Source organism: Homo sapiens, chromosome X, assembly GCF_000001405.40.
Source record: "Homo sapiens chromosome X, GRCh38.p14 Primary Assembly".
Taxonomy (NCBI): Eukaryota; Metazoa; Chordata; class Mammalia; order Primates; family Hominidae; genus Homo; species Homo sapiens.
Window position 1 is genome coordinate 53,608,007 of NC_000023.11, and position 26,323 is coordinate 53,634,329.

At 39.4% G+C, this 26,323-nt stretch overlaps 1 protein-coding gene across 50 annotated transcripts in view; it reads right to left on the reverse strand.

Moving 5' to 3' along the window:
- Positions 1–26,323, reverse strand: part of HUWE1 (HECT, UBA and WWE domain containing E3 ubiquitin protein ligase 1) — a 154,624-nt gene that overhangs the window by 75,911 nt on the left and 52,390 nt on the right. For 21 of the 50 annotated variants that reach the window (XM_017029199.2, XM_017029202.2, XM_047441747.1 and 18 more), the window contains 18 exons: positions 26,230–26,292; positions 24,481–24,558; positions 23,561–23,608; positions 23,408–23,476; positions 22,929–23,028; positions 21,510–21,631; positions 20,746–20,896; positions 20,487–20,614; positions 19,733–19,873; positions 19,404–19,509; positions 17,780–18,028; positions 17,151–17,252; positions 16,589–16,669; positions 9,334–9,440; positions 8,964–9,141; positions 7,738–7,829; positions 6,528–6,739; positions 846–903 (listed from right to left, as the gene is read on the reverse strand). In XM_017029199.2, coding sequence (XP_016884688.1) covers positions 846–903; positions 6,528–6,739; positions 7,738–7,829; positions 8,964–9,141; positions 9,334–9,440; positions 16,589–16,669; positions 17,151–17,252; positions 17,780–18,028; positions 19,404–19,509; positions 19,733–19,873; positions 20,487–20,614; positions 20,746–20,896; positions 21,510–21,631; positions 22,929–23,028; positions 23,408–23,476; positions 23,561–23,608; positions 24,481–24,558; positions 26,230–26,292 — 2,085 coding nt within the window. The remainder of the gene's footprint in view (positions 1–845; positions 904–6,527; positions 6,740–7,737; positions 7,830–8,963; positions 9,142–9,333; positions 9,441–16,588; positions 16,670–17,150; positions 17,253–17,779; positions 18,029–19,403; positions 19,510–19,732; positions 19,874–20,486; positions 20,615–20,745; positions 20,897–21,509; positions 21,632–22,928; positions 23,029–23,407; positions 23,477–23,560; positions 23,609–24,480; positions 24,559–26,229; positions 26,293–26,323) is intronic. The other 29 variants (NM_001441048.1, NM_001441051.1, XM_047441751.1 and 26 more) reach the window with 3 other exon arrangements.

Consider the following 26,323-nt stretch of genomic DNA (forward strand, 5'->3'; position numbering starts at 1 on the left):
AATTTGCTATTTAGTGCTCCTTGCCTACCTCTCTCCTGCAGGCAAACATCATGGAAAATTTCCCCCAAATGTGCTTATAATGCAAATGAAACGCATAATGCAAATGAAACACTGAACTCTGGAAGAGTTTGTTTCAAACAAAGAATTTTTTTAAGAGTAAAAAAGTAAAATGTGGGCAATAAACACACAGGCACAAGACAAACTATCTCTGGAAGTCTTGGAAGTGATTAGTAGGCTGAAACAAATGCTAAGAGGTCTCTCCCTTATTGGTAAACAATTCTGGGAAAATTCAAACTCTTCACTTTTTTGGTGAGATACCCAGGAAGTAATGGGAAAAAAGGGGGAAAATATATGTTGGACACATTTGGAAAACATATTACAGGTTGTATATTTCATATTCGAAATGCTTGGGCACCATGAGTGTTTCAGATTTTTATTTTTGAATATTTGCATTATACAGTACAGGCTGAAAATGCTCCAGTGAGCATTTCCCTTCAGTGTTATGTTGGTACTCAAAAAGGTTCAAATTTTGGAGCATTTTGGATTTGGGATGATCAGCCTGTACTAGACTGGCAAAACAAAACCTGTTACAGATTCCTGTCTGGATTCTAATGGAGAATGGTAACAGTGAACAAAAAAATCTGGAATACAAAATAATGGGGCTTGTGTTGGCTAATTTCTGGCAAACCAGTCTAGAACAAAAACAAAAGGGTGGCACATCTTTCCCCTCTTAATTGGATTCCAATTAAAATGAATACGGTAATTACTGGACTCTGATAACGAAACACATTTTCCAGAAAAGCACATATACATCTTTACTCAGTTTGCCCTGTGTTGAATCTTACCACATTAAGGATGTAATCCATGAGGGGAATAGGAATACGTTCCTCTGTACCAACAACCCTGTTAGGGGAGAAAAGAGTGAGTTACACAGAAATTCACAATACCAATATTAAGAGAACAGAGGAGGAGGCACTGTATAAAATTCTAGGCCTTTTTCTATTTATTTATTTATTTGCTTATTTTTTTGAGACAGGGTCTTGCTGTCACCCAGGCTGGAGTGCAGTGGCACAATCATGGCTCACTGCAGCCTTTGCTTCCCAGGCTTATGGGGTAGAGATGAGCCTTTAGACTCATATACCGCAGGAAAAAAACAGCTGAAATCAATCCTGAATCTACCTTTCCAAGCCTGACCAAGGTTGAAAGCATAAAGGGGACAACCAAGCCTTTAAAAACTCAACATTAGTATACATCACAAGAGAAGCTATCCTATCTTTGGCAAACTACTGTTAGGGAAATTTATCCACATGAGAACACTAAAAATAAGTTCAATTAAAAGACTCAACATTTGCTTGAAGAAAGAGGCTAGACAAAGAAACACTTAAACATCATACGATGTTTTTGCATCACGTTTAAAGTTATGGAGAGTAGGAAATACAATTTAATTTAGTTCAAAGATTCATACACCTGAGGTCTCCCTTCCCTAACAATTGGTATTTGCAGCATGACAGTTCCTGAACTATCAAAAAACTGATCAGGTCTTTTGTCTTTTCAGTTGCTTCAATATTGCACAGCAGATGAGAAGGCTACAACATGCCACAGCTGCAGAAAATGCAGCTCAATGCAAAAAACTACACATATAGTATATTGTGATGAATCAAAATATACCTCTAAGATAAACCCCAGGAAGGAACAAATACTTTAGAAAATGGAGTATTTTGGACACAGGCCCTTGAAACAGATTTGGGCACAGGGTGCAGGAGAGCGGGATGGGGCAGAGACAGAGGGAGAGGTAGAGGAAGAAGACAAGAAAGTTGGCAAGAAGCTAGTAGTTCTCATCTTTGAGCAAGACAAAATGTAAACAAAGATTTGCCAGGCACAAGAACATTTGGCAGCAGAATATAGAACAGGAAAAGAGAGTGGAGAGGCATTATGAATGACTTCAGTGACAAAAATACCCAGAACCAGGTTTGGGTAGGATGTTGTGAACCTCCTCAATGAAAAATGTGGGGAAGAACTTTGTAGAAAGGGAGTATACCTATAAGGCAAGACTGAAATGATTCCATGAGAAGACCACAAACCTTTCTTTAAGTTCCTCCTCAGAACCACTGCAGCATTCCATGTTACTTATATCAATTACCTATATAGATCCACCTCTATCGATAAGGAGTGCAGGTGTGGATCCCGCCCAGAGACACCCAACCCTTTGAAGAAGCCAGATATAATGGCAAAGAGCCTAAGTAGTAAAATCAAATGAGACCTATATGCCCCCTTCATTTGCTACATGGAAACTGGGGAGAAGAACAGAGAGAAAGCAAACCAATAGTGGTTCTTAATATAATTTCAGGAATAAATTTGTTCAGTAACCACTTTTCTCCTTCCCCTCATCTTTTGGCTCTCAGGCCCAAGAAGCCATACAGGAATAATCAAAATGATCAACTCTTTCCAACAGGACTCAACTTACCAACTGATTTCAAGAAAAGTCCTTCTAAACTTCCTGTCTCTCTCCCTTTCCCCAAACATACACACATTCCCAAACTCTGGTCAATTTTCAGTATTTATGGTGGTGGAGCCCCAGCTCATGCCCCCATCAAAAGTAAAGGAGGATATCAATTTAGTGTCATAGTATGATGTATATGGGGTTTTTTGGGATGGGGGGATGGTCAGGTGCTTCCTCCAGCTTTTGAGGAGACAGCTGACTCTGACAAAGGAGCCCTCCCAGTGGGCCACATTTCAGGGAACAACTGCGTCTCTGCACTCATTGCCTTTAAATTCCAGACAATTGCTATTCAAGTTCTAAAGATGACAAAGACTTTATATAGTCCATTTCTTTCAAGCTGCTCATGAGTGGTGGGTGGTAAGCTAGGCACACTAATGCAATCAACCACAAAGTGAACCGTGATGCACCAACTACAAACCCTGGTTACTTAACTGCTAAGTATATTCATCCCCAGCAATATCAGATTTTCTGAGATCAAACAATTCAGAAGGCAGAAGAAAGGGGGCAAAAGACAGGTATTTAGAACTACTTGTGGTGAGTGAGTCTGAGTGTAGAAAGGCACCCCACGTACCTGGCGTAGACTATAGTGCCTAAGTTTCCTTACTCCAAATCTCCAGCACAAAACCATGTATTTCAAGAGTAAATACAAACACCATTTGCAAATACTAGCTGCTGATTTTGTAAAAAAAAAAAAAAAAAAAAAGAAAGGGTAGTGTCTAAGCCTGGAAAAAACTCAGAAACCCAAGTCCATCAACAGGAAAATGGATAATCACTATACAATTATCACATAACAGAATACTACTCAGCAATGAAAAGTAACAAGTTGCTGACAGATGCAATAACATGGATGAACCTCCAAAACACATCAAACAAAGAAGCTAGATACAAGAAGGTATATACGTCAGATATAATATACACATAAGACTTTATATGGTCATTTTATTTAAACATATTCTGGAATAGACATAATAATATGATGACAGAAGTAAGATGAGTAACAGTCTCAATTTTGGGCAGGGAAACTGGAAATGTAAAATCTGTATGGAAATCATACCTGAATTTAAACTGCTGATAAATTGGCCAGGTGCGGCGGTGCACACCTGTAATCCCAACACTTTGGGAGGCCGAAGTGGGTGGATCACATGAGGCCAGGAGTTTGAGGCCAACATGGCAAAACCCCATCTCTACTAAAAATACAAAAATTAGCAAGGCATGGTGGCACGTGTCTGTAATCCCAGCTACTCAGGAGGCTAAGGACCGAGAACTGCTTGAACTCGGGAGGCGGAGGTTGCAGTGAGCTGAGCTCGTGCCTCTGCACTCCAGCCTGGGTGATGTAGTGAGACTCTGTCTCAAAAAAAAAAAAATAAATAAATAAAATAAAATAAAGATAAAAGTTAATCATTTTATGTGTGTATAAGGCATTGGAAAACAAATGAGAGCATGGGAAACAGAAATTCGGAAGAACTATGGATATGGAGGAAGGGATGGGCAAGACTTCTGGGGAGAAGGGTGACACATATTCCAAATCTTTCTAAGCCCTTTCACCATATTGTGAGAAAGTACACAATTCCCCTATAACAATTGCCTGGGATAGAAGATAAAAAGAACTTTTGCTGTTAATATATTGTGGTTTTCAAAATGAAGCTAAGTTTAGACAGTCTCTTGCTTTTTCTTCCTTCCCTAATAATTTACTTAGTGACCCAATCTAGGCCTCTGAAGATGGCAAAAGTGAAAAAATGTATGTGTCAACATCTGTGAGACTCCTGGATTATCCAAATGAGGCAGTGATGAGCATCCAGAATGTAGAAAACTACTGATACTGGGGTACAGTAACTACTAGAGTCCTCTGCATCTTAGAAGTTACATATAACTATCACTGTGGTAGAATATTAATGCTACTGGGTTTATATTTCTAATTTCTCTTCATTTTCATTCATGTCTCATTAGGCCTAGCTCTCTAAGCATTTAAGACTTCAGGAATCCTTCATTTAAGGCTCTTTATTCATTTCAATAAACAAACCTACTGACTACCTACTATATACAAAGTGATAGGGATACACTGGTGAATGAGGCAATGTCTTGCTCTTGAGGAGCTTATAGGTGAGTGAGGAAAACCATTAACATGTATGAATAATTTTAACAAAACTGTTGGGAGAACACAAGATTGAGTTCTCATTTGGAGGTAAAAAACCAACCAACCAACCAACCAACCTACCTCCTTCAAGAATAAGACATTTGAACTAGCCTTACAGAAATCTGGTGGATGTAAAAGGAGGTGATGTGGGAATGGGGATGGCTGTGGATAGAACACAGTGATACATGATAGCCCAAGAAAGGAAAGGAGGGTAAGCAAATGAGGGTAGTGTGCTGATTAACTGTGTCAGCTTGAAATCTGGGCACATCAGATGTAAGGCATCTGGAAAATATCCAGGTAGGGACGTCACATGCAGATGAATATATATGAGCTTGAATTAAAACCACCACCACCTACACCTTAAAATTTTTCCTTATTTGTAGCCAGGAAAAGGAACCCCACACTCCAGTAGGGTCACTGACATTCAAGGGTGTGACAAAGGAAGCACTAAGACTCGTCTACAAAAAAAAGTCGTGCTTTTTTCCAGGGTGTCCTCCTCTTCTAGAAAAAGAACATTTAAAAGAGAACAAAAGATACTGCTAGAATGAAGATAGGTTTGCCTTCTCAGACAGGGTAAGGTATCTGTTCAACAAAGCAATATACTTAGTAGTTAATGCCTCTCCTTAAAACACTTGACACCCACAGGCTCATCACTATTTAGAGTTCCAAGAGGACATACCAGTTTCGGATTCTAGGCCTTTGCTCCTGTTGTCAACTCCACCTTAAATTTTAAGTCCCAAGGTGCCATTCAGGACCAGCTCAAATGCATTCATAGCTGTGCCTAAAATGCTCAAGCTTTTCTCAGAATGACTTACCTACACACTAAAAGACCACTTATTATATGAGGGAGTGCAGGACTGTCCAGAAAGATCAATCCCATTTTCAGCATGCAGGTGACTAAAAGTTACAGGTATACAGTTACAGTTCATCCCTGGTATGTGAATACTGCTCAAAGAGCCTGGTGGACTACCCCCTACCAATCACTAAGCCTTTAAGCAAACTCCCTGCTTCCATCTAAGCAGTCAATTCTTGACTATTTACAGTCATATAGTAAATTCCAAAGCCTTCTACTAATTAATCTGGAACGAACAGATAGTAACAAAATGAACAAAAATAAAAAAACAACAAGCAACAACAAATCTTCACACACCCCTTAAGGACTTCTTAGGAGACAGGCTTCAAAAGTACATTGTTTTTCACACGTGCCTGAAAAAAATCAAGCAGTCGATGTGGAATATCAAATCAACAAAGGGAAAATAAGGTCTCTGTGCAAAGTCCATTAACTTGATGGACCAAATTCTGATTCAATTTCATCAACAGCTTTTAAGAATGAGCACTTCCTGGCCGGATGCGGTAGCTCACGCCTGTAATCCTAACACTTTGGGAAGCCGAGGTGGGTAGATCACCTGACGTCGGGAGTTTGAGATTAGCCTGGTCAACATGGTGAAACCCCATCTCTACTAAAAATACAAAAATTAGCCAAGTGTGGTGGTAGGTGTCTGTAATCCCAGCTACTTGGGAGGCTGAGGCAGGAGAACTGCTTGAGCCCAGGAGGTGGAGGTTGCAATGAGCCGAGACCACATCATTGCACTCCAGCATGGGCAACGAGAGCAAAACTCTCTCTCAAAAAAATCAATAAAAATTAAAAATTAATTAATTTTTTTAAAAAAAGATCACTTCCTAAGGCAACCAATACAATTAAATACCAAAGCACAAATGACACACAAGGGTCAAAAAAGGAAAAACTAATACATTCTTAGAACCGGTTAGAACTTTAAAATGATCTAATACAACTCTCTTGCTTTTTATAGATGAAAGTGTTCATTAAGACTTAGAGAGGTGATAACATGCCCACGATTATATGGCTAGATGATCTGTTCTGTAAACACTTACTGCTGATTAGGCTCAGTTTCATTTTGCTGGGTAGAATTAAAGCTCTGCATGGCCTGTACTTCCTCTTCCTCCTCATCCTCACTAGAGGCTTCTTCTGCGGCATGATTAGACCTTGGGGGAGGAGCAGTGGCAGTGCCATCTGCCTTCTGGATTGATGGCTTCTGACAGATGTATTTGGGGTCCCTTCCAAGATTACAGATTTCTTCAAGTAACTGAAAGGCACAGGAAATAAGATTACTTATTAGTAATCATGGAATGGGGAGGAGGAGACAGCTAACATATTTAGAGCGTTTTCTATGTGTTGTGTATTTGCCCAAACACTTTGTATACATGTTATATACATAATTCCCAGAATATGGTCATTAATTACATTTTATAAACAAGGGAATAGAAGTGCTGCAAACTTAAATAATTTGTTGAGCGTCACACGGCTGTATAAGTGACTGACGAACCTGACTCCCTGTCCCAATTCACCAAGCACCAGGAACTTATATACCAATTTCAACAACAATTCTAAAAGGAAACTGGCAGAGCTAATAAGGCGGGGGTGGGGGGCAGCCACAGGGATCAACAAACGGAGACTAGAAAGGGTAATATGCTTTACAAACTTAATCTAAGCCATGTCTGCTTGTCCATATAATATATAAAAGAAATCATTATATACAGGTTACATTAAATGGAAAAAAATTTTTAAGGAAAACAATTCTCAATCTAAAATACTTTTTTTTTTTTTGGAGACAGAGTCTTGCAGTGGCATGATCTTGGCTCACTACAACCTCCGCCTCCCGAGTTCAAGTGATTCTCCTGCCTCAGCCTCCAGAGTAGCTGGGACTACAGGCACACGCCACCAAACCCGGCTAACTTTTGTATTTTTCATAGAAACGGGGCTTCACCATGTTGTCCAGGCTGGTCTCAAACTCCTGGCCTCAAGCGATCCACCAGCCTCAGCCTCCCAAAGTGCCAGGATTACAGGCGTGAGCCACTGCACCCAGGCTAAAAAAATTTTAACAGAGACTTCTTTCTAAGATGAACTAAAATGACAACATCTTTTTATAAAGGACCAACCTAAGGACATGGAAACAATGAGGCAGACATAATGCTCTTACAGCTATAGCCCAAGAATCCTAATGACCTCTAGTAGGCCAATCTTCTAAAACCTTCCCCTTCTCTGCTCTCTCATGCTCATGGTCACATCCTTATCACTTTCTACCTTGATGATGGCAGTCGTTGCATCTGTTTTAAGGGTGGGCTGATGTCTCATGAGCTCATCGACAGCACTCCCCAGGTTGGATGCAGTATCCCCTTAAGGCAAAAAATGAACTGTTAGAATTAGAAAGACTGAAGAAAATAGAGCTTGGGCTCTTTTCTGTACCAACATATAAAGTGGAAAGAAGAAACTGAGCCTGGTTATGATTTTCTTTCCTTTAAAGACTTTATGTCACCCAGACTGGAGTGCAGTGTCACGATCTCCTGGACTCAAGCGATCCTCCCACCTCAGCCCTCCAAGTAGCTGGGACTACAGGTGTGCGCCTCCGTGACTGGAGAAATTTTTTTTTTGGTAGAGATGGGGTTTGGCCATGTTGCCCAGGCTGGTCTCAAACTCCTGAGCTCAAGTGATCTGCCCACCTTGGCCTCCCAAAATGGTAGGTGTGTGCCACTGTGCCAGGCCAGGCTGTTGTGATATTTTTTTCCTATTTTTTTTTTTTGGTTGTGATTTTCTAATGCCACAACTTCTTTAATGAATTTACACCCAGCCCCTATCCCCCCAAATCACTAGGGAAAAGGAAGGAATCAGTTTAGTAAACTATTTTAAAGTAACTATGTGTGCTGCACTCTACTCTGGCAATCTTTGCTGTCAAGATCTAAACTAGTATTACAGAGTGAGAGAGAAGAAAGATGTACAAACCATTAACCCTCTGGCTGCTCCAGTTAAGAATGATAGTGTCTAAATGCTACAGTGGTGGTTGAAAAGTACAAAGCACATTTTTGAAAACTGTAATCTTTCTGGAGCCCTACCTTTTTGCTAATAATCTCTCAATTATCTGGTCTCAAGTATACTGAGTAAAAAAAAAATATCCATGTGTCGTTATCTTAGAGAGTTGGACATCAGAACACTAGATTACCAGATGAACACCTCAGGACTCCATATTTCTCATTGCTGCAGACCAGATGGTGAACCTGGAAATCTACCACTGCTTCTTAATACCTATTTTCTACCAGTACCATGAAAGTACAATGGTGAACTGTTGAGAAGCATGGAAATATTATGAGCAGAGAAGCTGAAGTATTCCTTCTGAAGTATAATAGAATGTATGATGATAATTCCCATTAAACTTAGCACACCTAACCAGTAAAACGATGAGAGAGATGATCAAGGAAGAGTTTCCTTGCAAACTAAATCAATTTTCTACTATAAAATAAATCTTAACAACTTACCAAGGGGATCAGAACTTCTCCTCCTCCGCATGGCTGGGAGGTAATCTGGAGACAGAAGAACTTTGAAGAGGCGTTCAAAAGGCTGACACTGAACAAAAGACTGAAGACCTCGGGCATTCAAACAGAGTGCACTGAATACATTTGGGAGGGAGCCAAGGACTTCACGGGTAGCAGGAACCTAAAGAGAAAACAAAGTGAGCTTGAATGCATCTAAAAGAGTGTAGATGCTAGGAAAATCCGGCCATGGGTATCAAGCTGAGATAGAAGGAATTTTGACAACCAGGTCCCAATTAGATTCAACACTACACACAGAAGAGATAGGATTTTCACGCCCTAAGACATTCTTTACAGAGTAGCAGAAAAGACTTACATCTTTGATAAGCAGTGCATGCAGCATGACATCTGTCAATCCATTGTCCTGGAGTGAGGAGAGCAGTGATGGTTCTTGAAATACAAACACAGTCACCACTTCAGTAGCTAAAAAAAGATGAGAAAATATGGAAAACTGAGAGATTCCTCACAGAAACTGAAAACAAAACACCAAAAGCTTAAAAAAAAATACATACTCAATGTCTAGCAATTTAAACCCTTGTGCTTACTATGAAATTAAAGATCCTAATACTGCTCCATCAGAGATTCAATACTATAAAGAATCTAGTGACTACACTTACAGGATTTTTATGGGCATATTTTTACATAAATGAGGTTACACTGTTTTATATATTTTGCTTTTCCCCCACAACTGTCATACCGTATAATGTCCTCTCCCGACACAACGACCCATTCATTTTGAATGGCTGCCTACTATTCCACTAAATGCATGTACCACATGTATAAAAACCAGTCCTCAATTGTGAAAATGATAAACCTAAACATATATCCGTTTTTGTCTGCTTTTAACAGGAAAAAAAATCTATGATGTGGGCTTGCTGGGTTAAAGCAAATGCAAGCTTTACTGATGAAAATAGATAAACTGCCTCATACAAAGGTTATTCAACAATTTTAAACTATCACCAGCAATGCAAGAGTCCTTGAATATTAATCTGATCAGTTTTTGACATTATAATATTTTAAAATGTGCAGTAATAACTACCAAAGCTTCTGGAACATGGGAAAAACTCTACTCAAGAGGAAATAGTACAGCATTAAAGTATTTATTAAAAAGTAACCAAACAAGCTATGAAGAATTAACAGAAAAAAGAATTCAGTGAAAACGAAAGCAAAAAGGATAAACGAAGCCAATATCTAGCTTTGTGAAGACACTGGAAAAGCTTATAAACCTATAGAAAATAGAGCAATAATATAAATTAGAAACAAGAGCAGTAATATACATTAGGAATGAGAAAGGAGATTTAACTAGATACAGAAAAAAAAAATTTATTCTACAAAGTGTATGCCAACAAGTGAAATAATATAAATTAGAAAAAAGAGCAGTAATATACGTTATGAATGAGAAAGGAGATTTAACTAGATACAGAAAAATATATTCTACAAACTATATGCCAACAAGTGAAATGTATAGTTTAATAAGAAAATGTCATAAAAATCAAATCTCAGGAAGTGACAGCAAAGCAGACTAGACCAGTAAGAATTTTCTTTTTTTTTTTTTTTTTTAGACGGAGTCTCACTCTGTCGCCCAGGCTGGAGTACAGTGGTGCAATCTCGGCTCACTGCAGCCTCCACCTCCTGGGTTCAAGCAATTCTTCTGCCTCAGCCTCCCAAGTAGTTGGGATTACAGGCACCCAACACGCCTGGCTGATTTTTCCATTTTTAGTAGAGATGGGGTTTTTACCAGATTGGCCAGGCTGGTCTCGAACTCCTAACCTCAGGTGATCTGCCCGCCTCAGTCTCCCAAAGTACTGGGATTATAGGCGTGAGCCACCGTGCCCGTTCCAGAATTTTTAAAAGGGGAAAAAAAAAAAAAATCCAGGTAATAGAGAGGCACCAAGCCAATAGTTTTATTAAACCTTCTAGGAATAATTAAGACAAAGCTTCCCAACTCATAAGACTACAATAACTACAATAACTTTAATTAAAAAACCTGATGAAGAGGAATATACATACAACACCCATAAACCATGTATACAGAACAAACTTGTTTATGGTGATGCCTAAGATCTAAAAGAAACCAGAGGATTTTCTATTCAAGATGGTGAATACAGCATCTCTCCTTTATCCCAAATGCTAGGGGAATGGCAGATATATAGCAGTTACCGGGGACCAACAGTTTTCAATGGCCTTTGGGATTCCTCATGGGCTATAAACTTCTGAAAAATTTAAGTCCTTTTTGGGGTTCCTATTGGTATGACACTCCCCTCGATTGACTTACATTTGTAGAAATGTATGAATTCTATAGAGTTACTAAAATTGAGTATTTAAAAACTAAAATTAGTGTTCTACAAGCAATTACTAAGACATCAAACCTGTTATTTTATCAAGAAGTCGCAACGACACTATGCACTGGGACCCCTATACAAAAACACTGATAACCAAGAATTAGAATTAAAGGGTATATACACGCACAGAGCAACCAGCTGTGTGTGGAACCAAGCAACTAAGAAATGGAAAAAAGGTAATTAGGGTTTCCAGGAGAAAGTTAAAAGGAATCAGAGAAATAGAAGAAAAAAAAAAAAAAAAAAAAAGGCAGAAGCAGGAACTATATACAGATAAGAACAAGAACCAGTGTGACACCATGGTTATCTACAATAATGTAGCATTAGAATACAATGAAGAAAACAGCCACCAACTTCTGAAAGAGAAGTCTGACACCTTAAAAATTACCCACAGATGTACTTCAATAGAACTGAAAATGAATCCAACAGAGTTTGGAAAGTCAAGGTTACAGAGAAGAGAGTAAAGGAAGGCAGAAGGTCATCACAGTCCCTGGGCCCAAATGCCATTGCATCCCCATGCCACTAGCCCTACTCAAACCCTAGCCTCCCAATATGTTCTTTGTGCCCTGTCGTGCCATCGGCATCATCACCAGTGGGGGCTCACCATACCAGAGGTAAACACTCCTTTTCTCACTGGCAAATCAATTTTATTGGGCCACTGCCCCAATCTGCTGGCACAAATCGCTATGCCCTCACAACTGATTGTTATACAGACCCATTCTTGGCTTATCCTTCCTGCCCAACTACTGCCAACACCACCACTATTATAGCCCTCAGTTAGTTCCCTTTGGGCTTCTGGTAACACCGACTCTGACCAGGGTACGTACGTTACCGCTCATTCAGTCTGGGCATGGGCCTTTTCAAACAAGGCATCACCTTGGAGCTTCCATTTGTCTTTTTTTTTTTTTTTTGAGACAAGGTCTCACTCTGTTCCCCAGGCTAGAGTGCAGGGGTGCAATTATAGCTCACTACAGCCTCAACCTCCAGTACTTAAGTGATCCTCCCACCTCAGCTTCCTGAGTAGCGCACCAGCATGCCCTGCAAACATTTTTATTTGTTGTAGAGACAGGATTTCACCATGTTGCCCAGGCTGGTCTCAAACTCCTGGGCTCAAGGCTCAAGCAATCTGCCTGTCTCAGCATCCCAAAATGCTGGGATTACAGGTGTGAGCCAGTGCCTGGCCCATCTGTTGTACTGTTCACAGAAAGCAGGCCTAATAGAGGCATAATGGCTTGTTCAATGCTCTCTTAAACTTACTAAATGGACAATGGTCTCTTAAATTGATCTCTCTTTTGCCGATTGCCTTAGTTGTATGACATCTGAAAAAACACAATTAGTGCTTCCTTTGTCCCCTTTCTAGCCTCAAAATGAGATACTTTCCATCTATGAGTCTATAATACCCAAACAGAATCCCCCTCACTTAACGACACCTCCTCATTTGATATTGGTGCGATCCACGGTGGACAGGAGCCTAGGTTGAAAGTAGGTAACAGGATGGGACCCACAGAAAATTGAGGGCCCTCACCCTCTAAGACTATGCAGAAGGTCTCTGCCAAAGTCCTTTCCTAATATGATGGTTTTAAAGGACTGCTAACTGGAGATCCCTCTTCATAGGAAATGAAGGTCTTAGTCTCTCTGCCTGGGTTGACATACACAACTGTATGGTTCTTCCAAAGAGGAAAGAAAAATCTTAAGTTAGTTCCTAGTACCAACATTCTTAGACAGGAAGCCAGTTCTGGAACCACCTTATTACAGAGGTATTGAATGGGAGACTATTGCAGGATATGGGATGGCAATGCCTGTGATTCCCATAATAAACTGGCACTTCGGCATGCCAAAAGTCTACGCACCACAGGCCTGAAAATATCTTTGTGGAATATTCTGGCTCTAGTTGGCCTGTCTATACCTCATTTGGCTCATGGTCTGGGTCTGGGATACTACTACCCCAGCTCAATGCCAAACTTCTTGGGCTCCTTTTTGCCCATGCTGTGATCCCACTTGTTTAGGGGTAATCAGTGCATAGCTTCCCTATCTGAAATTATTCTAAAACTCTTGTAGGCAAAGGGATACTGAGTTACTTTTATAATAATTTCTCAAGTGCGAGCCTAGGGCTTCTATCCATCCAGCATACCAAAGCATCCTAGATGATGATTTCAGTACAACTGACAGTCCCAGCCTTGACGCTAACACCCTCAAGATGGTAACTGCCCTTGTAACTGCCCCCACATAACTCATCATAACTCCACTGCCCCATCAACTCTTTGACAGCCCACACTCCACTTTCACTATTTACACTCTAATTTCACTATTCCAGTCACTACCTATATTTCCTGCTTCCCCTCACTCAACCTGATAGATTGTATCTATGTATTAGTAACAGAGAATGCCACCTACATACTAAACCTCCAGCAATACTAACAGATACCCTAGCCCAGGCAACTACTCATACAACTATATCTTGCTCCCTTGGAGGATTTCAATACTCATATTGACAACTTGCTACACTCTCTGGTTAAGTGGTCAATCATAAGCATGATGACGTTAGCATAGGCTACAAACAGACCCGAACAGATAACATGAGGGGTAAGGCAGGAGGTGAGAAAGAAGAGAGGGGAGTTGGGGAAGTTAAATGGGATACTACAAATGAAATACAGGTGGCTAAAAGTGGCATAGAAGAGCCAGAGGTCGGACACGTGAGGGAGAAGGAGTCAGAATATTTAGTGGGTTTGAGTGTGAAATTATAAGCAGGACATCGTGACCTCACTGGGTGCTTCCATATTAAACTTCCCCCTTAAGGATTTCATGTCTTTCCCAGCCTCTGCCACCAACTGATAGTACATACAATGATGCCCCCCTGTTGAGAATGTCCACCCTGATATAAGTTTGCCCCCTAGAAACTCCAACTTCCAACCTCTTGGGCTACTGATTCTTCTGTGTTACAACTCCTGCTCAGCAGGGTTATACATTTTATTCAGCGATCCTGTTCCCTTCTACCCATACAAGCTGACCTATGTACTATGGACATTTAGTGCCCAGGGCACCTCAAATTCAACTAGAAAGTCTAGCTGTTTTATCAAGTCTTGCCACAAAAAGGAGCACTTTTTACCTATTCTGGGCCTCATCAGAATCTTTGGTGTAACGGGCACAAGTTTAGGTATTTCCAATTCTGTAACACAGACTCAACTCATAGAGGTTACCGAGACATGTTGTAACTCCTGACAGACCACATTAACCAAACAGTTCAGGCCTAAGAAGCCCTCAATGAGGGACAAAGCAGTTTAGTTACTATGATAGTTGATAACAGACTGGCATGAAACTACCTACTGGCATTTCAAGATAGTGCTTGTGCCTTAAAGGGACTTCCTGTTGCATGATCATTAATAAAGAAAAGGTATCCAGAATAGTTCAACAAAAATAAACCCAAACTGCCAATTATATTATTAAAATACTCCAAGAGGTTCTCAGAACTCCCTGATGTCTTTCCTGGGCCATCTCCTTCCACCTGGAGTGAAAGGCTCTGTACTATCATTTGGGGAGCTAAAATAACAATGGCTAGTCTAATTATTTAGGTTTCGCTTTGCAAATTTGTTCTCTCTCAAGTACAAGTGTATTTTATGGGAAAACTGGGAGGTTGCTATGCTAATTTAAATGTGAGGGATGAATTAAGAAAACCATAGGGAAGGAAGTTGGACCTTCACTGACCTTTGATTTAGTGCTCTAAGTCTCATTTCCTGCCCGTGTCCCTCACTTCTGGCATCATCCTCATAGGGCTCACCTGCTCCTCACCACTATCCCAGCACCTAAGCACTATATCCTCTTGCTGCCTCCCTCTTTTAAACAATATCCCTGTCAATGGCAATTGCTCCTTCTTCTAAGCTTCCCATTTATAGAAAAATGCCTGTGTATCCTTTTCTCTTTCTCTCTGTTCTGGACTTTCTCCCAGAAGACGGGCATTCTCCCTGCCCCTGGCCTTGAGACGTCCCCACCGTAAAACAAATCTTAAAAAAAAACAAAAAAACCCCAAAGAACTATTGTCTGAATTTTGCCATCTGAACATAACCTTAGCAGAGAGCTTTTCCATAGCATGGTAGAGTTGCTACACCACAAGAAGACTTCCTCAACCTGACAAAATTGACAAAACCTTCAACACAAAACCTCTGCTAACTTCATTCTTAATGGTGAAATATTAAATGCTTTTCCCTCTAAATTCAGGAACAAAGCAAAGAGGCCCATTCTTATTTCTATCCAGCACTGTATCAGAAATCTTTGCTAATGTCATAAGACAAAAAAAAAGGCACAAAGACCATAAACAAAGTAAAAATGCATTTGCAGATGACAAGATTATGTAGAATATTCTAAGAAAACAAAACAAGTATGTACTAATAAGTGAACTGTGCAAGATTAAAAGATACAAGGTTAATATACAAAAATCCTAAATTTCTTCAGCAAGGGGGCAAGGAAGTATCTAAGTTGTAGTAGCCAAAACTAGTCTCCCCAACACCCCAAACTGTAAAACACAATGCTTGCTACTACAAGGAGACTTTCCCTATTTCCACGTCTCCTACTAAATTCCTTTAGCGTTTTAAGAATTCTAGCACAGATAAACAAAATGTATGATAATGTTACTTACTACAAATGTACTACTTATCGAAGGTATATTCAGCACCCAGAAAATAGGTATTTACTTAAAACTGAATTCTGACCTTTATTTCATCACCAATAAGACAGATATCTACCCGGCCTCTCTGTTTTATATCCTTGCAGGATTTTACTATTGACATTTGTCTACTGTCCAGGTAGACAGTAGAGATGGGGTTTTGCCATGTTGGCCAGGCTGGTCTCAAACTCATTACCTCAGGTGATCTACCCGCCTCGGCCTCCCAAAGTGCTGGGATTACAGGCAGGAGCTTCCATGCCCGGCCTCTCTGTGTTTTATATCCTTGCAGGATTTTACTATTCATATTTGTCTACTAAAAATACAAAAATTAGCCAGGCATGGTGGCAGGCACCTCTAATCCCAGCTACTCGGGAGGCTGAGGCAGGAGACTCGCTTTAACCCGGGAGGCAGAGGTTGTAGTGAGCCAAGATTGCGCCACTACACTCCAGCCTGGGCAATAGAGTGAGACTCTGTCTCAAAAATAAATAAGTAAATAAGTAAGTAAGTAAATACAGAGAGAGAGAGCTCTGCCAGGTTATCCCAAATTGTTATAACCAACTATCAACTCCACTTACCTAGGAGGAAGAGTGATGGGCCATAGTATTCTGCATTGCTGATGATGTGTTTCAGGGAGGTAGGCAGAGAACCATCCATCACTAAAAGAAAAGTGAACATTATGGAGAATACGAATAGTCTGGAAAGGTGTGAGGAGTGGGGATAATTGAGTGATATGTTATGTATTATCACACTGTGGTCCTCAAAGCCTGTGTTAATTCTAATCTAATGGCCCCCAGTTGTCTCCTCCTATTTTATTATTTGTCCATGCAATAGGCTTTCTAACACGGGTTAAAAAAAGAAAGAACACAAACACTTAAGAGTCAGAAAGGGGTAATAAGACGGAATTAAGCACAGAGTCGAAAGCTGGAAAAGGGGAAAAAAAGGGTAAATCATTATGAAAATAGCTAAGCAACACTTACATCTAGGAAAAGTGACACAAAACAACTAAAAGCTATTGAAAATGGCATGGCCTTTACCAAAGACTGCCTTGTAAAACAACAGGTGCCAGAATAGTATGAAAAGAACCAATCTTTGAGAGAGTAAAATATCCTCCAAAAAAAGTTATCTGGAATCAAATACCATGTCGTATGCCATCTGAGAAAGCAGGGTCTTGGATGGCCTTCTTGAGGAAATTCAACATGGATTTCAGAAGTGCTGCTCGTTGTGGAATACACTGGACTCCTGGCAATGAAGAAAGACAAAAGAATTATGCTGAGTTCGCCATTAAACCACAATGATCAAGCACATAAAACAAAATTTTAAGAGATCCAAATACACTATAATAAAATTAGAAGACATTCGAAGTGAGGTCTCTGAATGTTAGGAAGAATACTTAATTAAGCTTTGAAATTGGAAAAATTACTAATACTTTTAATTTTACCAATACTAAAAGTCTAAAGTAAAAAAGAAAAATTACAAAGTAAAAAGGTTCAACTTTTTTTTTACCTCACTCAGTTCCCATTTTGGATATTATCTGCCCTCCAACATGGCTGTTTTGATAATCAATGTGCAAATTGTTGGAAAAGTATAAAATGCTATGAAAGACATGTTAATATAAGAAAATGGAACACCAGAATGGTGAAGGAGCATGAATAGTCATGGGATGCTAACCTCCAAATGTACCATTTAAGTTCTGCCTAAAGCCGCCTTCTTCAATAGTTTAATAACTCTACCACTCTGAAAGACTGCACATCTATGTGTGTACGCACCAGGACGGGGGCCAGGGCCAGGGCCGGGGCCAGGGCCGGGACCAGGACCGGGGCCGGGGCCGGGGCCAGGGCCGGGGCCGGGGCCGGGGCCGGGGCCAGGGCCGGTGCCGGGGCCGGGACTGGGACCAGGGCTGGGGCCAGAAGAGATGTTAGTGCTGCTGCTGGAACCTGATGCCCTTAATTCAACATCCAGCCTGTGCTCCATAGAGATGGATGAGCCTGGACTGCTTTCCATAGCCACATCTGCAACTAAAGTACAAGTTATGATAAAGAAACTTACTAGAATAAAAGGTACCACAAAAAGAAAAATTTTGTTTGAGAAAATTTCTTCCATTAATGTGAAATGAATATAAAAATGAAGATCAGGAATACTGAACCCCAAAATGAAAATATATCACTAGTTGCATGTATTAATACGTACATACATACACGTGTGTGTGTGTGTGTGTGTGTGTGTGTGTGTGTGTGTGTAAATTAACAATCCTACAGAAGTCCTTCAATATTTCTCACCTACCAAATTGGGGAAGAGGGGGAGAGTGGTAAGTAAAATGTGCAATTTCATATACTACTAGTTGGTAGTATACAAATAGGTACAGCTTTTCAAAAGAGTAATTAATAAATATAAAAAGCATGAAAAGATTAATACTCAATATTCCGATCTGGAAGAATGTCTATGAAACACTGAATGAGCAATGCAAGATGAACAGTATGTTTATGATCTCATCTTCCCATTCTAAAATACTACATACATACTTAACATCAACATGTATTTGAATATGCATAAAAAAGCCTGGAAAGATCCGCACCGAAACTAGTAGCTATGGTAGGTAAGTGAGCATTCATTTTTACTTTATACACTTGAATAACTGAGTATAAGATACACAATCATTGACTACAGTTTATAAAATGTATTAAGGCTCCATCAGTGATAAAATACTATTTACATTTTGAAATCACTGCAGCCTCAAACTCCCAGGCTCAGATGATCCTCTCAACTCAGCCTCCCAAGTAGCCGGGACCACAGGTGCATGCCACCCCACCCGGCTAAGTTTTGTATTTTTCGTAAAGACAAGATTTTTGCCATGTTGCCCAGGCTGGCCTCGAACCCCTGGGCTCAAGTGATGTGCCAGCCTAACGGATGTTGTTGCCTACCCAACAACCTTTTTACCTCTCCTTTCTCTTCTCAAAATAGGTAAAGTTTTAAAAGGTCCCATTTTAGTCTCTCTCTCTCTACCAAGCATATTTCTAACACCTAGGATGTTATCAGGCACTGCGGCAGTGAAAAAGACAATATCCTGATCCCATGGAGCTTGAATTTTAGTAGAAATAAGACAATAAGAAATACATAAGAAAATTACGTGATGAAATAAAACAGATTAACACCACAGCTATAGCATCTGCTTTACCTGCCATCTCTACTCCAAAGAACTAGTACCTTTCTTTTCTTATTATCTTTGTGAAAAACAAATTTGCAAATCACTTACATAGAAAAAAAATTTTTGTTGCTGAAAGTATATACTCAAGTTAATTGTGTACTTTGGAATTTATGAGGAAGAATGAAAACTGGGGTGGGATGACAAAAAATCTCAAGCACAAAAATACTGACTTAATAACTGTTAATTACCATCCATATCAGTTTCCATTTCCTCTCCTTCTTGTGTAGTATTGGGTCTCTGGATCTTTGGCTTGATCACAAACGGACATTCTTTTCGGCACAAATCTACTTCATGCTACAATCAAGAGAAAGGTTATAAGAAAATCAAGTATATATATATATATTTTTTTTTTCAGGGATTAAAAACTATTATAATGGAAAAACACTGCAAGCAGATACACAGTTGATTTCTAGAAACAGAAGAGACTGTAAGATCGCTCTTTAGGGTTATCAGGACAATCCTTAGGTTCAGCTCTGAGTATTAAATTCTGTGCAAAGCATTCCTTGTATAATAATACCTCAAGTCTATAAATGAAGATAGAAAGTCCACTATGGGATTGAAAAGCTGCCATATCCAGGTTGGTGATAAGGTCAACCACTCTGACGGCTCTGGTGACAAATGTTATCTGGTCCTGTTCATCGCCAAGAAACTTTATGACCTATCACGGAGAAAAAGAGGCAAAAACAATGAACTATAAAGACACAAAGTTGTAAAAATTGCATGCTTTTGTATACATGTAGTCTGGGGCCTCAGTAAGGCAGCACAGTATGGGGGAAAACATGTGTTTTATTTTTGGTGCCTGCCAAATGACAGTTCTATGACTTCTGCGACTCAACCTCTGAGGTAATGGGGACATCAATTACTTTGCAGGATTAAGTAAGATATTTAGGGAGAAAAAAGCTGGTGCTCATTGCCCTGCACATAGTAAAGGCTATTACTACTACAACACAACTTACAAAGTACCCTGACATATATTTTCCCTATGGTTGTGTAAAGGCATGATAACATGTGGCAATGTTTTAACCAGAACCCATGACCTCCTGACCATTCTACACTATGATAAAAGTCTCAATAATGGAAGTAGCTGCTCTTAAACATTGTTAATTAGATAACTAGAAAGCCAAACTGGCCTTCTACTTAAGTATAACTTTTTCTGGATAAGCTTTCTTATATTATTTGCCCTCACTGTGAAACACCCCAAACTTGCATCTCTACACCCTTAGTTGATTTCCCCATGTAGTTTAAAAAAAAAAAAAAAAAAAGTACAGCACCTTCAATAAGGCTTCCATCATTCCACAGGAGACCAAGGCTTCACCACCAGCATCGTAGCTGGCCAGATGGTATAAAAAAGAGAAGAGAGCAGTGGCAAACTGGTGAGGGTATGGATCCATGGAAGGATCTACAAGGGAGGTGGGGAGAGGGAGAACAAAAACAAGCTCAAAATTGCTGTTAAGCAGGCAGGATATTAAAAAGACAAAGGCAGAGGGCAAATGTTTCTTCTTGCCTAAGATAATCACCATCAAAACTTACCAATCATGGCCTGGATACAGTTCCTTACAAGCACTGGCAAAAATCCATGGTAGGAGGCAGTTCCAGTACAGTCAATAATACTGCTGAGTTTGGGAGTTCTCTCCAAGTGGACAATTGATGTTAATGTTCGTAAAGAAGCTGCTTTAATCTCCTATTAAATTAGAAGGTAAACACATAATGTGTCAAATATAATAAGATGACTGAACCAAGTTCCAGTTGCTAATATCCAAACTTTAAAATATAAGTCATTCTACTGGTAACTGCTTGAGGGGATGGAGGTCTGTTGAGAGCAACAACGAAAATCTAGTATTTGTTAGTTTTGCAGTTTAATACCCAAAGAGGGAAGTACTGGGAGTTCTTTCTAACCCTCTGGGAAAAACCAAAAGGCAAACAAGTATAAGCCTGATATACAGAGAACATTAATGCAGGATCCCTGATTCAAAAATCTGAAATATTCCCAAATCCAAAACTTTGGGAATACCTGCATGCCAGAAGTGGAAAATTCCACACCTGATCTCATGTGACAGGTCACAGTTAAAATGCACAAAATTATTTGAAATATTGTATACAATTGCCTTAAGACTACGTATATAATGTGTATACGAAACATCAATGAATTTCGTGTTTAAACTTGGGTCCCATGCCCAAGATGTCTCATTATGTATATGCAAATATCCCCTCCCCCCCCAAAAAAGTCTCAAATCCAAAATACTTCTGGTCCCAAGTGTTACAGCTAAGGGTTACTCAACCTGTAAAATACTTACCATAAGCTGCTTATCCGTTATCTGAAGGACATCTACCAACTCCTCTATCAAGCCATTATACAAGATACTGTTTGCTGATTCCTGCAAGGCATTGGAATACACTGCAAAAGGAGAAACAAACACTTTAGGCAAGAAGGCAGTGGTCAAGCCACTGCCCAATAACAAACTTTTTGGTATCTATAGGTTCTGGGGAAGAATTCCATTCCCAACCAGCAATGGAGGGCAGAATCATCACCAAATTAAATTCTGAAGGACTGGATCAAATACAACTGATAATCTCTAAACAGACACTGAATTGACAGATTCCACTACTAAAGGTATTATTAGTCTTGAGAAAGAATTTTGGGGATGGAAATAGGAAAAGCTCTGAGTTAATTTTTCATAACATTACTACTTGATGTAACTCCACTATGCCTTCAATATAAGATTTCCATTTTAGCCTCTTCCTATGCTTCTGCTTTTACTGTAAACACTTGTAAAGAACAGAATTTATGGACCATTGCAGAGTAAGTCAGAAATTTGTGTGACACTGTAGTAAAACTTCAGAATGTGTGTAATTCACATTCAATGAATTCCACGATGAGGTTAATACCGGACACAGTACCCTGAAGCATAAACTAATGGGATTTAGGCATATTCATTTAGTTTTCAACAAAGATTTCCTGAGCACCCACTAACATGCCAGAAATCATGCTAGATATGAGTACACATAAAAGAGCAAGAATTTCACGCCAAGAAACTCATAGTTTAAGAGAAGGCAAGTCATAACATAATGAACATCAATAATAACAGCAATGGTTACCATTTTATATCTTCTATGTGCTTGTTCTGTGCTAGATTGCTTTCTAGGTTTTCATTTAATCTTTAGACCAGCCTCTACGGTGAGTACCTCAATATTAAACGAATAAGCTGAGGCTGAGAGGATAAGTGTGGCTAATAATCTACAGAATCAGGGACAGAGTACAGGACTGATTACAAAACCACGTGTTTTCCATTTTACTGTGCCACAGTAAAAGAAGTTAAATGCACAGTATTGACTACTGAATATTTTGTGACTTAATTCAAGATGATATCCCTGAAAGGATGAGAGAGGAGGAAGACACAATGGCAAGAGAAAGAGTAGGGGGACAGTGAACGATAGCTACAAGCATATCTATTAAAAAAAAAAAAAAGAGACGAATACCAAGAATAAACCCAGGTGACATGTCAATCAACATCATCATACCCTCTTTCTCGTCCAACATTAAGGAGCTCAAGGATAATGAATAAATACAGTGAACACTGGGAGGGGTGGAAGTATTTAAGTTGCTACCTAGGTAACTATAATAGGACTCATAGCAACAAAGATGAATGAAGTTCAAAGGAAATCAGGCCCAAACTGTCTAATACGGCCTGGTAATTAAAGTATTCTTCTCTTACCTAATATAGATATTGCATGCAGTCTGGCCTGAACTGCCTGCAATCGCTTCCTGTGATTAGAAAAGCCATGGGCCAGTCGTATGTGTGTAAATAACAGCATCTGTAGAGAGATAAGACATACATTTTAAAAACATCAATGAAAAAGGTGAATATTCTTTATGAGGGCTAACTCAAAAAACAACACAACTAAACGTTTTCTCCTTTGATATCCGAAGTGTTCAGAAAGCTACCACCACTTATTACCTGCTCACGGTGAGGTAGTTTATGTTTTCCTCAAACTCTCATAAGGCCTAGGAAGTTATTAAGTGTTAACCTCATAAAAGACAAGGAAACTAAGGCTCAGAGAAGCTAACAATTTGCCCATGGTCTGACTCCAAAGCTGACATTCTTTCTGCTATGCAATCTCCCACCCCAGTACATATCATTAATCTATTTAGATAACAACCACATCCTGTGGATGTTTTAAAGCCACATCATACCTGCTTATCCTTAGGAATGCTGTACATTTTGGTAAGAGATTCCATGATTTCAGAAGGGCTTTCTGAAATCTACATTAAAAAAAAAGATATAGTTAGGAACAAAAAGTGAACCAAACATTAAGAAACGAGCCAAGAGTCAAAGATTCCTCTTACCTTGTCAAGTTGCTCTATGTGAATATAATGTAGTGTGTTACTAGTTGTCTAAAATTAAAAAAGACAAGAGAGCTGTAAGGAGTCACTGAACACTCTAGCTTCCCCTTCCATAGAGCTCCAAAGGGCTGTCTGAAAACCAAGATGTCACCTAATAGGCTGAAGCCTAAGTGAATGCTCTTAAAATCAAGGTAAATTGAGAATCTTCCAAAACATCCATCTTATATGTAGAATATTCTTAGGAAAGCTCCTTTAAAACCAGTAGTATCAAACTATAATGCACATAGCCAGGCACATTTCATATTCTTCTTTGTCCTTTTTTAACCCTCCACTGACTTAATATCCATAGCAGTATTAATAGCAAAGACCAAATTCATGAAAATATTTTCTCTCTGAATATGTATTAGAGTTGCTTTCAAGGCAATTAAGCTAGAAAGATTATTTATTTATTGAATAGTATAGGTAGAAGAGAAATTGTATTTTCACTAAGCTACTTCTAAACCAAACTCTTTAGTACCTCCTCAAACAATACAAAATGACCAGATAATTTAAGCAGGACACTATCCACAATACATAAAGACTTTTGCAGGCTTCCTAATTAGAGAAACCTGAGCCATCACCATCCAAACTACTATACTACATGTTGGAATTCTCAGAGACTGTGGGAAAAGCACATAGGTCATAGCAGTGCCTCATAATGGATGGGACTTGCATCTTTTGGCAGCTCCCAACATAAGACCCAACCCTATCAGAGTTGGGGATGCAATTAACACTCCTGAGGAGCTGCTAGGTATATTTATAGTTTGCGAGGGCAGCAGTGTAGCTCAAAACCATTTATTCATTTAACTGAGGAGTTCTAGAAGAGGCAATCCCAGTTACAGTAAATTGTAGACTTTGTCAGAACAAATCTGAATCAGACTCACCCTTTTCTCAATTTTGACCTCGGCCCCAGGATCTGCATAGAATTCAAAGTGTAGTGTAGTTGCACTGGGTGGATATTTCTGTGTATAAAGCACATCAAAGAATCAGACATTGAGTTTCAACTGATTATAAACATTATCCCCCACATCTTCCCTCAAAGTCCTAGCCACTTGTTCAACTTATTGTGGCAGAAGAATAAGCAGTACATTCAGTACCTACAGTGCCTTTAACTGTTTGTCTTAGAGCAGAGCTCAGATAGGATGAGACTTTTCAAACAGAATCAAAAGGACAGAGCCCAGAGCTCCCAAACCTTCTGCATTTCATACTTATAAATTTCCAGTTTCCCTTTAAGAGATCAATTTTGACTGTGGCTATTCCCAAGGGGGAAAAGAGGGGCAAGACTGCCAAGCAGTAATGAATAAGAATCCAAGAAAGGATGGAGAACAAATACCAGGGCCCAGAAACCAGCTAAAGAATGGAAAAGAACATTCCTACGAAAAACCTTGTACCTATCATCAGCCTTCTGAAATATTTAATTCAAAGTATGCCTCATAGGCATATCTTCATAATTCTTCAAACACTTTCCTTCTATACCATTCTACACCACTTCTCATGGTATGTTTTCTGCACAGGTAGATACCAAGACAACATAAACCAGACCCTGACAAAACATTCTCTTTAACTCTAGAAAAGCAACATGATGAACAAAATTAAGATGACAGCAGAATGCCCACTAAAATGTCTCACTGAAAGACACCACTTGCAGTGGTTGCCTCTGGAAAATTAAGAAGTTACCACTGCATACCTCTTTATACTCTGAATTTTTTAACATGTATATGTATTACTTCCTTTTAAAGTACACGTTAACCTTTATGTTGTCATAATTAGAATTCCAAACTCTGAATATACTTCAAGATTTATGTAGTTTTGATTATTAAACAGACAACACTCACCTACTGTATCACCCAATATCTCTTCATAAAATAATCACTAAAGAAAAGTATGCCAGCTAACGTGGGAAAGTAACTTGATCTAATCTGTGGTTTTCTGAGACCAGAAAAGAGCCATTCTCTTTAGGAAAAAAAGGCTTGCTAAGATAAATACACTAAATTTCACTGCAGCCATTTGTGCTAAACACGACAAACTGACAAGACAAATCCCACGTGGAAAATATAGTTGCTTCCAGATGCAAAATAATTATTGAAAATCAAATTGTGTTTTGTAGCTCCACAGCAACATATCAAAGCAGAAAGGAGGATGGCCTGAGCTCATAACTTAAACATGGGTGAAAGGCAGAGAGATAAACAAGGAAAGCACATAAAACATTATAAGTTCTCAATAAACCTAATGGTAGAACTGCTCTCCAAGCAGCCATTCCTAAATCACACCACACTGTCCAGAGTTCTGATACAATAGTTCCAGTGTGAGAATGCAAGCGAACATACTTTCTGGGATTTAAAAAAAATCACATTAAAATTAATTCAACAAATACAGCTACCTACTCAAGAACTGGGTATGAACACACACTCTATTTCTCAGATTTTTTTATCTACCACCAGCACATCAAGAGCCCAAGCACTGCTAGACTGCTTCCTATAGACGTGGTTCAGCTATGTCTGAACTGATCTTAGGTTCCTCAAAGGTCTCGATGTGAAGGCGTCACTTCATATACCACAATTCATTGTAAAGTAAGGTTCACAGAGAGGCCACAGCTCTGTCAAAAGACACCCATATCCCAAAGAGTTACTTACCATCATATGCAAGTCTCTGCAACATTCTGCAAGTCCAAAGCCATTCTCCTTTCCACCCCAGCTCTTGAAAAAGGAAAAAGATAGTGTTAAGACA